Source organism: Homo sapiens, chromosome 12 (assembly GCF_000001405.40).
Source record: "Homo sapiens chromosome 12, GRCh38.p14 Primary Assembly".
In the NCBI taxonomy this organism is placed as follows: Eukaryota; Metazoa; Chordata; class Mammalia; order Primates; family Hominidae; genus Homo; species Homo sapiens.
Genome location: NC_000012.12, coordinates 9,004,929 through 9,017,820, shown reverse-complemented (window position 1 = coordinate 9,017,820; position 12,892 = coordinate 9,004,929). Strand labels below are relative to the sequence as shown.

The 12,892-nt window shown below is 39.5% G+C and overlaps 1 protein-coding gene across 13 annotated transcripts in view; it reads right to left on the bottom strand.

Moving 5' to 3' along the window:
* Positions 1 to 12,892, bottom strand: part of KLRG1 (killer cell lectin like receptor G1) — a 265,527-nt gene that overhangs the window by 197,750 nt on the left and 54,885 nt on the right. For 8 of the 13 annotated variants that reach the window (NR_137426.2, NR_137427.2, NR_137428.2 and 5 more), the window contains 2 exons: positions 8,746 to 8,846; positions 7,070 to 8,395 (listed from right to left, as the gene is read on the bottom strand). Coding sequence is in view for 10 of the 13 variants with exons in the window: in XM_047428075.1 (XP_047284031.1) it covers positions 8,284 to 8,395; positions 8,746 to 8,846 (213 nt within the window). In the remaining 3 variants the exon portion in view is untranslated. Of the gene's footprint in view, positions 1 to 7,069; positions 8,396 to 8,745; positions 8,847 to 12,892 lie in introns of those variants that run through there. The other 5 variants (XM_017018685.2, XM_047428074.1, XM_017018684.2 and 2 more) reach the window with 2 other exon arrangements.

The window sequence follows — 12,892 nt, the reverse complement described above, 5'->3', positions numbered from 1 at the left end:
TGACTTCTTCCTTTCCAATGTGAATGCCCTTCATTCCTTTCTCTTGTCTGATTGCTCTAGCTAGGACATCCAGTACTATATTGAATAACGGTGGTGAAAATGGGCATCCTTGTCATGTTCCAGATCTTAGAGGAGACAATTTCAGGTTTTCCCCATTACGTATAATACTACCTGTGGGTCTGTCTCATATACGGCTTTTATTGTGTTGAGGTATGTCTTTGTATACCCAATTTTTTACTGTTTTTATCATGAAAGGATGTTGAATTTTATCAAATGCATTTTCAGCATCAATTGAAATAATCACATGGTTTTTGTTCTTCATTCTGTTGATATGATGTATCACATTGATTGATATGTGCATGTTGAACCATCCTTGCATCCCTGGGATAAATCCCATTTTGTCATAATGAATGATCTTTTTAATGTGTTGTTGAACCCAGTTTGCCAATATTTTGTAGGAAATTTTTGCATCAATGTCTATCAGGGATATTTACATTTGGGTTTGTTTGTTTGGGATTTTTTTTCTTTTCTTTTTTTTTTTTTTTTTTTTTTTTTTGAGATGGAGTTTCACTCTTGTTGCCCTGGCTGGAGTGCAATGGCATGATCTCGGCTCACTGCAACCTCCACCTCCCAGGTTCAAGTGATTCTCCTGTCTCAGCTTCCCGAGTAGCTAGGATTACAGATGCCCACCACCACGCCTGGCTAATTTTTGTATTTTTAGTAGAGACAAGGTTTCGCCATGTTGGTCAGGCTGGTCTTGAACTCCTGACCTTGCGATCTGCCCGCCTTGGCCTCCCTGTTTGAAATTTTTTAAAGTGTGTCTTTGGTTTTGTATCAGGGTAATACTGGCCTCATAGAATGAGTGTGGAAGCATTCCCTCCTTTTCTATTTTTTAAAATAGTTTGAGGGCTGGGCACAGTGTTTCACGCCTGTAATACCAGCACTTTGGGAGGCTGAGGCAGGTGGATCACTTGCAGTCTAGAGTTCAAGACCAGTCTGGCCAACATAGTGAAACCCCATCTCTACTAAAAATGAAAAAATTAGCCAGGTGTGGTGACGCACACCTGTAATCTGAGCTACACAGGAGGCTGAGGCATGAGGAATCACTTGAACCCAGGAGGCAGAGGTTGTAGTGGGCCGAGATCGTGCCACTGCACTCCAGCCTGGGCAACAAAGCAAGACACTGTCTCAAAATAAAATAAAATATAATAATTTGAGTAGGATTGGTATTAGTTATTCTCTAAATGTTTGGGAAATTTCAGCAGTGAAGCCACTGGGTCCTGGGCTTTATTTTCCTGGGAGACATTTTGTTACAGCTTCAACCTCATTACCTGTTATTGGTCTGCTCAAGTTTTGAATTTCTTCACGGTTCAATCTTGGTAGGTTTTATCTGTCTAGGAATTTATCCATTTCTTCTAGGTTTTTCAATTTATTGGCATATAGTTGCTTGCAGTAGCCTCTAATCATCCTTTGAATTTCTGCTGTATTTGTTGTAATGTCTCCTTTTTTTATCTCTGATTTTACTCATTTGGATCGTCTCTCTTTTTTTTCTTACGTAGTATGGCTAAAGGTTTGCTGATTTTATCTTTTCAAAAAAACCAACTTGTGGTTTCATTGACCTTTTGTATCTTTTTTCATGTCAATTTCATTTACTTCTCCTCTGATCTTTATTATTTCTTTTCTTCTACTAATTTTGGGTTTGATTTGCTCTTGCTTTTCTAGTTCTTTAAGACGCATTGTTAAGTTGTATATTTGAGGCATTTTTACTTTTTTATGTAGGTGGTTTTAGGTATAAACTTTGCTGTTAGTACTGCTTTCATTGTATCCCATAGATTTTGGTATTATGTTTCCATTATCATTTATTTTCAGAAGTTTTTTAACTTCCTTCTTAATTTCTTCATTGGCTCACCTGTCATTCAGTAACATACTGTTTAATTTCCATGTGTTTATATAGTTTTCAAAGTTCCTCTTGTTACTGACTTCTAGTTTTTTTCCATTATAGTCAGAGAAGATAACTGACATGATTTCAATTTTTTTGAACTTTTAAAGACTTGTTTTGTGACCAAACATATGATCTATCCTTGAGAATGATCCATATGCTGAGGAGAAGAACGCATATTCTGCAGCCATTAGATAAAATGTTCTGTAAATATCTATTAGGTCCACTTGGTCTATAGGACAGATTAAGTCTGATGTTTCTTTGTTGATGTTCTGTCTGGATGATATGTCTAATGCTGAGAGTGGGGTGTTGAAATCTTCAGCTATTATTGCATTGGGGTCTATCTCTTTCTTTAGCTCTGATATTTGCTTTATATATCTGGGTGCTCCAGTGTCAGGTGCATATTTATTTACAATTAATTATTATATCCTCTTGCTGAATTGACATCTTTATCATAAGGTCAAAGAGACCTTGTCTCTTTTTATAATTTTTGTCTTGAAATCTATTTTGTCTGATGTAAATAGAGCCAGTCCTGCTCTTTTTGGTCTCCATTGGCATGGAACATCTTTTTCCCTCCCTTTATTTTCAGTCTACTTGTGTTTTTATAAGTGAAATGTGTTTCTTGTAGGTGACAGATTGTTGGGTCTTGTGTTTTTATCCATTCAGCCACTCTGTCTTTTGATTGGAGAATTTAGTTCACTTACATTCAATATTGTTATTGATAAAACATACTCCTGCCATTTTGTTATATGTCTTCTTGCTGTTTTGCGGTCTTCTCTTCCTTCTTTCCTTCCTTCCTGTTTTCCTCTTAGTGAAGGTGATTTCCTCTGGCGGTATGTTTTAATTTCTTGCTTTTTATTTTTTGTGTATCTGTTGTATGTTTTTTTATTTGAGGTTACCATAAGGCTTGCAAATAATATCTTATAACCCATTATTTTAAACTGATGACAACTTAACACTGATTGAATAAACAAAGAAGCAAAGAGAAAACAAATAAAAACTCTACACTTTAACTTCATGCCACCACTTTTTAACTTTTTGTTGTTTCTATTTATGTTATTGTACTGTCCATGTCTTAAAAAGTTGTGGTAGTTTTTTTTTTTTGGTTAATCTTTTAGTCTTTCTACTCAAGATATGAGTAGTTTATGCACCACAATTACAGTGTTATAATATTCTGTTTGTCTGTGTACTTACTATTACCAGTGAGTTTTGTACCTTCAGATGATTTCTTATTGCATCTTATGTTCTTTTCTTTCAGATTGAAGAACCCCCTTTAGCATTTCTTATACAACAGATCTAGTGTTGACTAAATCCTTCTGCTTTTGTTTGTTTGGGAAAGTCATTATTTCTCCCTCATGTTTGAAGGATATTTTCACTGGATACATTACTCTAGGGTAAAAGTTTTTTTCCTTCAGCACTTTAAATATATCATGCCACTCTCTCCTGACCTGTAAGGTTTCCACTGAGAAGTCTGCTGTCAGACATATTGGAGCTCCTTTGTATGTTATTTGTTTCTTTTTTCTTGCTGCTTTTAGGATCCTTTCTTTATCCTTGACCTTTGGAAGTTCAATTATTAAATGTAGTCTTATTTGAGTTAAGTCTACTTGGTGTTCTATAACCTTCTTGTGCTTGAATAGTGATATTCTTCTCTAGGTTTGGAGAGTTCCCTGTTGTTATCCCTTTGAATAAACTTTCTACCCCAGTCTCTGTCTCTACCTCCTCTTTAAGGTCAAAACAATTAGATTTGGCCTTTTGAGGCTATTTTCTCCATCTTGTAGGCATGCTTCATTCTTTTCTATTCTTTTTTCTGTTGTCTCCTCTGCCTGTATATTTTCAAACAACCTGTCTTTGAGCTTCCTTCTTCTAACTGATCAGTTCTGCTGTTGAGAGACTCTGATGCATTCTTCAGTAAGTCAACTGAATTTTTCAGCTTTAGAATTTCTGCTTGATTTTTCAAACTTATTTTTGTTAAATTTTTGTTCTCTTTGTTAAGTTTTTCTGATAGGATTCTGAATTCCTTCTCTATGTTATTGATGTGGTTTGGCTATGCCCCACCCAAATCTCATCTTGAATTATAGCTCCCACAATTCCCACATGTTGTGGGAGGGACCTGGTGGGAGGTACCTGGTGGGAGGTAATTGAATCATGGGGGTGGGTCTTTCCCATGCTATTCTCATTATAGTGAATAAGTCTCATGAGATCTGATGGTCTTATGAAGGGGAGTTTCCCTGCACAAGTTCTCTTCTCTTGTCTGCTGCCACGTGAGATGTGCCTTTCACCTTCTACCATAATTGTGAGGCCTCTCCGGCCACATGGAACTGTGAGTCCACTAAACCTCTTTTTTTTTAGTAAATTGCCCAGTCTCAGGTATGTCTTTATCAGAAGGATGAAAACGGACTAACACAGTTACCTTGAATTTCATTGAGCTTCCTCTAAACAGCTATTTCACATTCTCTGTCTGAATGGTCATATCTCTGCATTCTGGCATTGGTCATTGGTGCCTTATTTAGTTCATTTGGTGAGGTCATGTTTTCCTCGATGGTCTTGATGCTTGTGGATGTTTATTTGTGTCTGGTCATTAAAGAGTTAGGTTTTTATTATAGTCTTTGCAGTCTGGGTTTGTTTGTACCCATCCTTCTTGGGAAAACTCTCCAAGCATTCAAAGGGAATTGAGTGTTATGATCTAAGTCTTTGGCCACTGCAGCTATATCTGCATTAGGAAGCACCACAAACCCAGTAACACTGTGACTCTTGCAGACTTATAGAAGTACCACCTTGGTGGTCTTGGGTATGATACAGGAGAATTTACTAGATTACCAGGCAGAGCCTCTTGTTATCTTCTGTTACTTTTCCCCAAAGAAATGGAGTCTCTCTCTCCATACTGAGCTATCTGGAGCTTGGGGAATAGTGACACAAGTACCCTAGTGGCCACCACAACTTGGAGTGCACTAGGTCAGACCTGAAGCCAGCATAGCACTGGGTCTCGCCCAAGGCTTGTGGTAACCACTACCTGGCTATCACTAATGTTCCCTCAAGGCCCAAGGACTCTTCAGTAAGCTTATGGTGAATGCTGCCAGGCCTGGGTCTCTACCTTCAGGGCAATGGGCTCCCTCCCCTCTGACTCAGGGCAGGTCCAGAAATGCTGTCCAGGAGCCTGGAATCAAGGACCCCAGGTGCTTACTTGGTGCTCTACCCCACTGTAGCCAAGCTAATACCTAAGCTGCAAGACAGAGTCCCCATTAGTCTTGGGTTAAATCTCTCCTTATCTATGTCCAAACTCCCTCTAATTTCCTCAAGCAGAAGAAGTCTCTCCCCATGGCTACCATAGCTAACAATGTGCTGGGTCACACTGGAAGCCGCATGGCACTGGATCTCACCCAATACCTATGGCAAACACTGCCTGGGTACTGCTGCTGATTATTCAGGGCCAAAGGGCTCTTTAGTCAGCAGGTGATGAATCCTGCCTGGACTGGGTCCTTCCTTTCAAGGCAGCACATTCCTTTCTGGTCCAGAGTGGGTCTTAAAATATCATCCAGAAACTAGGTCCCAGAATAGGGACCTTAGGACTCTGCGTGGTGGTGCCCTATCCTTCTGTAGCTGAGCTGTATCCAAATTGCAGGACAAAGTCCTCTTTACTCTTCCATCTCCTCTCCTCAGGTGGAAGGAAGGAGTCTCTCCCAGAGCTGCAAGCTCCACTGCCTGGGGTCGGAGGAGGGGTTACACAAGCACTCCCTTGGCCACCCAGCTGGTGTTTCACTAGGTCACATTCCCTCCAAGTCCACTGGCTCTGAGCCTAGCATAGCACCAGGACTTGCCCAGGAACTGTGGTCCTTGTAGCCTAGATTGCCTTTCAAGTTTATTTAGGATCCCAGAGTGTTTTAGCCGCAGTGGTGGGACTAGCAGAAACTCAGGTTCCGACCACTGGGATGGGCCATTCCCCTGTGGCTAGGGCTGGTCTAAATGCTCCCTCTGTGGGCACTGGCTGATTTCTGTCCCATGTCGCTATCTGCTTTGACAGAGCTGCACCGAGTTCCACTGCAAAGTCCCATAATCACAGCACTCTTCCTCCCCAAAGCACAGACTCTCTCTCCACACCACACTGTGCTGCTGGGAGATGGGGAAGGGGTGGCATTGGCAAATCAAGACTGTCTCTCCTGTCCTCGTCAGTGCCTCTTTTGTTGATATGATGTTAAAACCAGGTACTGTGACTGCTCATCTGATTTTTGGTTCTTATGAAGGTGCTTTCTTTTGCGGATAATTGTTCCATTTGTATTCCTGCGGGGGAAAAATCAGTGGAGGCTTCTTGTTCTTGCTCCACCTCCTCCTGTGTGTTCCTGGATTTTCTTCATTTTAATTTTGTGACTGCTCTGTTATTATCTTTAATAAATGTCCTATTCCAAACACTGAATGTCCCAGATATGTTTAATGTATAATGTTCATCAAAGAAGTCCACTGTGCAATGTAAGTGCTAATCAAAAAATGTTAGTTTCTAGTTTTACCAAACTTTATTTCACTAGGTAAGGTGCAAGAATTGAGTTACTAACTGACCCCAGCCCTTCATAAATAAGTCTAAGGAATAAATAAGCAACCAGGAAGTAAACTGTTACTTCTCTTGTAACAACCTTAAGGGAGACAAAGCAGTGAAGAACTACACCCAATTCTGACAATAGGTGGATGAATCCTTATAAAAGGCCTGAACCCTAGTCACAGAGGAGGTCTGCACACATCCTGCCTGCTCAGATGAGAATTTAAGACCCGACTGTAGTTCTCCTTTTCTTATCTTTCAATAAGTAAATGAAATTGTGCACCCTGTAGTAGCCAAGCCATGGCCCACATGGAATCGCTATCATTACATCCTTAATTGAGAGTCACTACCAAAATATTCATAACTAAGGGATACTTCCTGCACCAGAACCAAAGGGAAGAGATCACTAGGGGATGGGAGCTTGTTTCCACGACTTCCTTCTATGAGCATTGTATCCAGATTAACTGGCCCTTTGCCTTTGTAGAGTTAGCTACTGAAGACTCATATTGGTGAGTTAGGGAGGATTAGGATATACTGTTTTTCTCATCTTCAATTCCTCTAATTTATGGGCTAACAGAAATAACTAGAATGAACAGTTTTCATTCTTACTTTTTAATTCATCCATTTATTTATTTAATAGTCACTGAACGTAAGCACTATCTTAGGTATTTGGGATATAGTGGTAGATAAGATACAGTCCATGTTTTTAAAAAAACTATGAAAGATAAAGAGAAAAAGATTATAATCCAGGATCATCAACACTACAGAATTATGGTCTCCTTCATCACTGTACCTTCTCTCCTTATGTATGTCCAAACTCTACTGAGGAGAAATAATAAAGTTTTTCTTATTTTTGAGGCCTTAGTACCTAAGATAATTTGGTGATCCAACCACATAAACTGTTTCTGTAAACTTTCCTCTATGAAAATGCCTTATCGAATTGACTGCTATCTTGAAATTAATATGCAGGTCAAACAGTCACATAATGGAAAAGATACAATCACACATTGGTTCATTCAACCACATATATGCATACTCAGAAAAAAAACAAAATCAGTTAAGACCGGGTTTTTGCATTACGTGTGAAGAGCTCAGAAGGAGGAAGTACCACCTTGCCCTCACTCATTTCCCACAATTTATATTCTCACATTAGCATTTTTTTTTTTTTTTAGAGATGGAGTCTTGCTCTATCTCCCAGGCTGGAGTACAGTGGCACAATCATAGCTCACTGCAGCCTCAAACTCCTGGGCTCAAGCGACCCTCCCACCTCAGCTTCCCAAATAGCTAGGACTACAGGTACACACCAGCATGCCAGCTAGGTTTATTCTTCAGAATAAAGCTTGATCTGCAAAGGGACACTGTTAGGATAGAAATATACCATCAGGGATCAGTAATGTACAGAGGAGTACAGCAATAATGTACTTCTCTAGTACACAAGCAATAGTATATATTGGCATAGATTTTATCAGATTAGCTCAGAATATCATATGAAAAAGGTATATTTTTGACAGAGATGGTTGGGACGGGGATGAGAGTGGCAGCATTAGTTTCCATACTGAGAAATACAAAAAACAAACATCTATTTCAAAATTTGCTTAGATCTGGTCTTTAAATTGCTCACATAATATCTAAATAGTCTCAAAGAGAATCCATCAGTTAGGCATCAATCCCTAGGAGGTTGTCTTGCATCTAATGCCATATCTGAGAAAGTTCAGTATTTGCTAACTATATACTCATGGCTTTCCCAACAGCCAGTGGCCAGCTCCCTCCTTTTAGGGATACATGACAGATCTGAGGGTCAGGACAGAGTGGTCATCTATCAAAGTCTGACCTTCTTACACACCCAGTGTAAAGGAACTTCACAGCTTGAGGCTTGAAGACCATTTTTGTTGATGGCACCGCATGTCTGCACAAAGCTATTAGAAGAAATCCTGTAAGAAATCAGAAAAGTCAATCACTTAAGGCCGCATGCACAGAAAAGGAGTTGAAAGGCATGAAGGGATAAAAATGAAGCAAATTCTGTCTCCCTATTCAGGCCCCTAATTCCCCCAAACAGCAGAAGAATTAAAATTGTTCATCAGCCTCTCTTTAAAATGTTATCCTTTTTTTTTTTTTTTTTGCCCTTACCCATTGTTCATTCCCTTCCTTGTTCCCTATTTCCTCTCCTTTTCATTCTTTCCTCTCCTCTCCATCTGCTCTTCTTTATCTATTCCCCAAGTATCATAATTTGGCTTTCCTTTTTCCTCTCTCTCTTTTTTTGCATTCCTTTGAAGCCCCTTACCTTGAGAAGTTTAGAGGTGATCCATCTTCCCACCTCCAGCCAGAATTGTTCCTCAGACCAATCCAGCAAAAGGCCTCACTGAGGAAAACTTGGAGCAGGCTCTAAGGGAGAGGTTGAAAACCAAAAAAGGGACCTAGTGTCACAGTCAAACAATTATTCCTTTCCACATTGGATTCCTAATACTAAGTTAAGTAATTAATTAAAAGACAAACTAGCATTCCTTACAGCCTCCATCATCACCACTCTTAAGGACTGAATGCGTCCTAAAATCAATATGTTGAACCCCTAACCCCTAATGTGATGAAATCTGCTGGTGAAGCCTTTAGCAAGTAATTAGGTGTAGATGAGGCCATGAGGGTGGGGCCTCCATGATGCAATTAGTGTCCTTATAAGAGGAGGAAGAGATCAAAGCACTCTCTTTGCCAAGTGAGGATACAACAAAAAGGCAGCCATGTGCAAGCCAGAAGTAGGTCCTCACCAGGAGCCAGAGAACCTTGATGTTGGATTTTCCAGCCTTCAGAACTGAGAGAGAGAAACATCTGTTGTTCAAGCGATCCAGTCTATGGTATTTTGTTAGAGCAGCCCAAGCTAAGACAATTATTCACTCTAAATAACTAATTTCTCATTTAACATCTAATTCTAAAGATGTGTTAGCTGTAGAGAGGAGCAGCATCCTAGAATTGACCTTTCTGTCAATAACTGGATTCTTATAATGTAGCAAATAAGATAATATTACATCTCTACCTTCCATTGCAATTTTCTCCTTAATTAAAGGGAGCACCTGATAGGTATTCAGATTATTTCAAAAGAAAGAAGCTAAACATTTGCTGCAGAAGTGGTCATCTTTCCCATCATCCTTAAATATATAAATTACGATTAAGCCTATAGCAATATTCTTGTTTTTTTCCCCACTGAGGTCTCATTTTCCGCATCCTCATCAATCTTGTATGTGGCAAGAAAAAAACAGTTCTTAAGGGAACAAGTTTAAGGTAAAGGTAAATTGGCTACACCACTTATGTGTGCCACGTTACCCAACAGAACAGAGATAAAAGACTTTGATCTGCAAAGTCTGACATTCAAATGAAGAAGTTTATATCCAAAGAGAATTGCCTCTATAAATGAAATAAAATAAAATGTTAAAGATTAAAATAGATTAAAATAAAAGGTTAGAAAGATAATCCAAGGTAATTTTGTTGTAGGATTTAGTGTTGGTGTAATTAACAATTACACTTTCAATATTTTCTAATGACAGCTTAATTGGTTAAATACCTTTGGAATAAAATATTCTTTTTTATCTAGAAACTACTAAGAAAGCAATACAATTTCAACTGCCTATGGTGATTATGATACCACCAGATGTCCCATTTTGATGTTGTTTTTATTCCACTCCTGAAAGATGGTTGCTGAAGAGTAAACATTTATGGGCTCTGCTCTTAACTGTCTCTTTGCCTACTTGGACCCTGCATCAGCACAAATAAAGAGTTGCTCTTCTAAAGTTAAGGGAGGGCCAGGCACAGTGGCTCACACCTGTGATCCCAGCACTTAGGGAGGCCGAGGCTAGTGGATCACTTGAGGTCAGAAGTTTGAGACCAGCCTGGTGAATGTGGTACAAAAAGCCTGTCTCTACTAAAAACAAAAATAAAAATAAAAAATTAGGCATGGTGGCGGGCACCTGTAATCCCAGCTACTTGGGAGACTGAGGCATGAGAATCGCTTGAACCCAGGAGGCAGAGATTGCAGTGAGCCGAGATGGCATCACTGCACTCCAGCCTGGGTGACGGAGTGAGGCTCTGTCTCAAAAAAACAAAATAAAATAAAGAGAGGCAAAAAGCCTCTTTGCACTTCTAGTGGAGACACTACAGGAGAGAAAAGGAGTCTTTTGTGCTATTTCTCATGGTCAGAATAACCTCTATTTTCTCTTCACTGGGTTTCAGTCCTGTTTCCATTCAGGACATGACTGTGGTGGCTCCTAGACAAAGCATTTGAAAAATCAGTACAACTTGTTTATCAGTGCTTTTCTTCCCAAATAATCTATTCCTTATGATAACTTTGTTCTCTCAGAGCCCAGTATCCTGAAAACAATTATCTCTTACATTTGTATTGTACTCTAAGGTTTGCAAAATCCCTTTGCGTTCATTCCCAGTATCATTTGAAATACTGAATATACAGTATGGCATTTAGGAAAACAAAGCAGAAACAAAATTCTGGAGCCTCCTAGCTCTGTCCTCCTATCTGAAGATAAGCAGGTGGTTTAATCTGGCTGAGCGTCAACTTCTTTATGAGGATTTAGGTTAGATATTTTCTAGGATTCTTTCCAGTTATGAAATTCTTGACAATCTTGGAAGGTAGGCAACTATTATTATCCTCACCTTTAGAGATGAGAAGACAAGGTCATGTGGGTGAAAGAATTCATCCAAGTCTCCTTTTCAAATAATCATCCAACTTTTCTCTCCCAGTGCTAAACTTTTAATCACTCTGTGCCCCTGATTAATGTTCTCCAGTAGTCTCACTTTTCACATAGAATAAAATCTAAAATCCTTACTATGTACGCACAGTCCTACACAATCTAGCCCCTACTAACCATTTACTCACTTCCTAGGTTCCAGCCACATGAGCCTTCTTTCTTTTCCTTTAACATGCCAAGGTCATTCTTGCTTTAAGGTCTTTGCATAGCTTTTCCCTCTGCCTGGAATATCTTACCCGAGATTTCTACATGGCTGTCAATCAGGTCTAGATATCAACTCAAATGTTCCCTCCCCAAAGAGGCCTTCCTTAACTAACCAATCTAAAATAGTATTCACATTTACTATTATATCATACTGTTTCATTTTCTTTAAAGCACATATCACCATATTCATTTATTTAGTCTGTCTCTTCCGAAGAAAATGAAAGCACACGTAACATGTATGCAATGTGTAATGATCAGAGCAGGATAATTAGCCTATCACTTCAAACATTTACTATTTCTTTGTGTTGGGAACATTCAAAATCCTCTCTTCTAGCTATTTGAAAATATACAATAAATGGTTGTTAACTATAGATTACCCTGCAGTGCTATAGAACAAGGGTCCCCAACCCTCAGGCCATGCAAGGTGCTGGTCTGTGGCCTATTAGGAACTGGGCTGCACAGCAGGAGGTGAGCGGCTAGGCGGGCCAGCATTACCGCCTGAGTTCTGCCCCCTGTCAGATCAGCAGATCAGCGGTGGCATTGGATTCTCATAGGAGTACAAACACTATCGTGAACTGCACATGTGAGGGATCTAGGTTGCCTGCTCCTTAAGAAAATCTAACTAATGCCTGATGATCTGAGGTGGAACAGTTTCATCCTGAAACCAGCCCCCAGCAACGGTCCATGGAAAAATTGTCTTCCACGAAACTGGTGCCTGGTGCTAAACATCTTGGAGACCATTGCTATAGAACATTAGAACTTATTCTGCCTATCTAGCTGTAATTTTGTATCCTTTAACATAACTCTCCCTAACCTCCCCATCCCCAGCCATTCTCAGCTTCTTGTATCGTCTGTTCTGAGGTCAACATTTTTTTTAGTTTTCACATAAGCGAGAACATGCAGTGTTTAACTTTCTGTTCCTGGTTTATTTCACTTAACACAGTGTCCTCTAGTTCCATCCATTCTGCTATGAATGACAGGATTTCTTTATTTTCCATGGCTGATTAGTATTCTATGGTGTATACATACACATTTTCTTTATTTCATTTTTTATTATTATACTTTAAGTTCTGGGGCACATGTGCAGAATGTGCAGTTTTGTTACATAGGTATACACGTGCCATGGTGGATTACTGCACCCATCAACTAGTCACCTACATTAGGTATTTCTCTTAGTGCTATCCCTCCCCTTGCCCCCCACCCCCCGACAGGCCCGGTGTGTGATGTTCCCCTCCCTGTGTCCATGTGTTCTCATTGTTCAACTCCTACTTATAAGTGAGAACATGCGGTGTTTGGTTTTCTGTTCTTGTGTTAGTTTCATTTATCCATTTATTTGTTGTTGAACATTTTGGTTGATTTCATATCTTGGCTATTGTCAATATTGCTACAATACATATGAGAGTGAACATATCTCTTCAACATACTGATTTTATTTCCTTCGGATAAATACCCTATATATATAATTATTATGTGCCAATT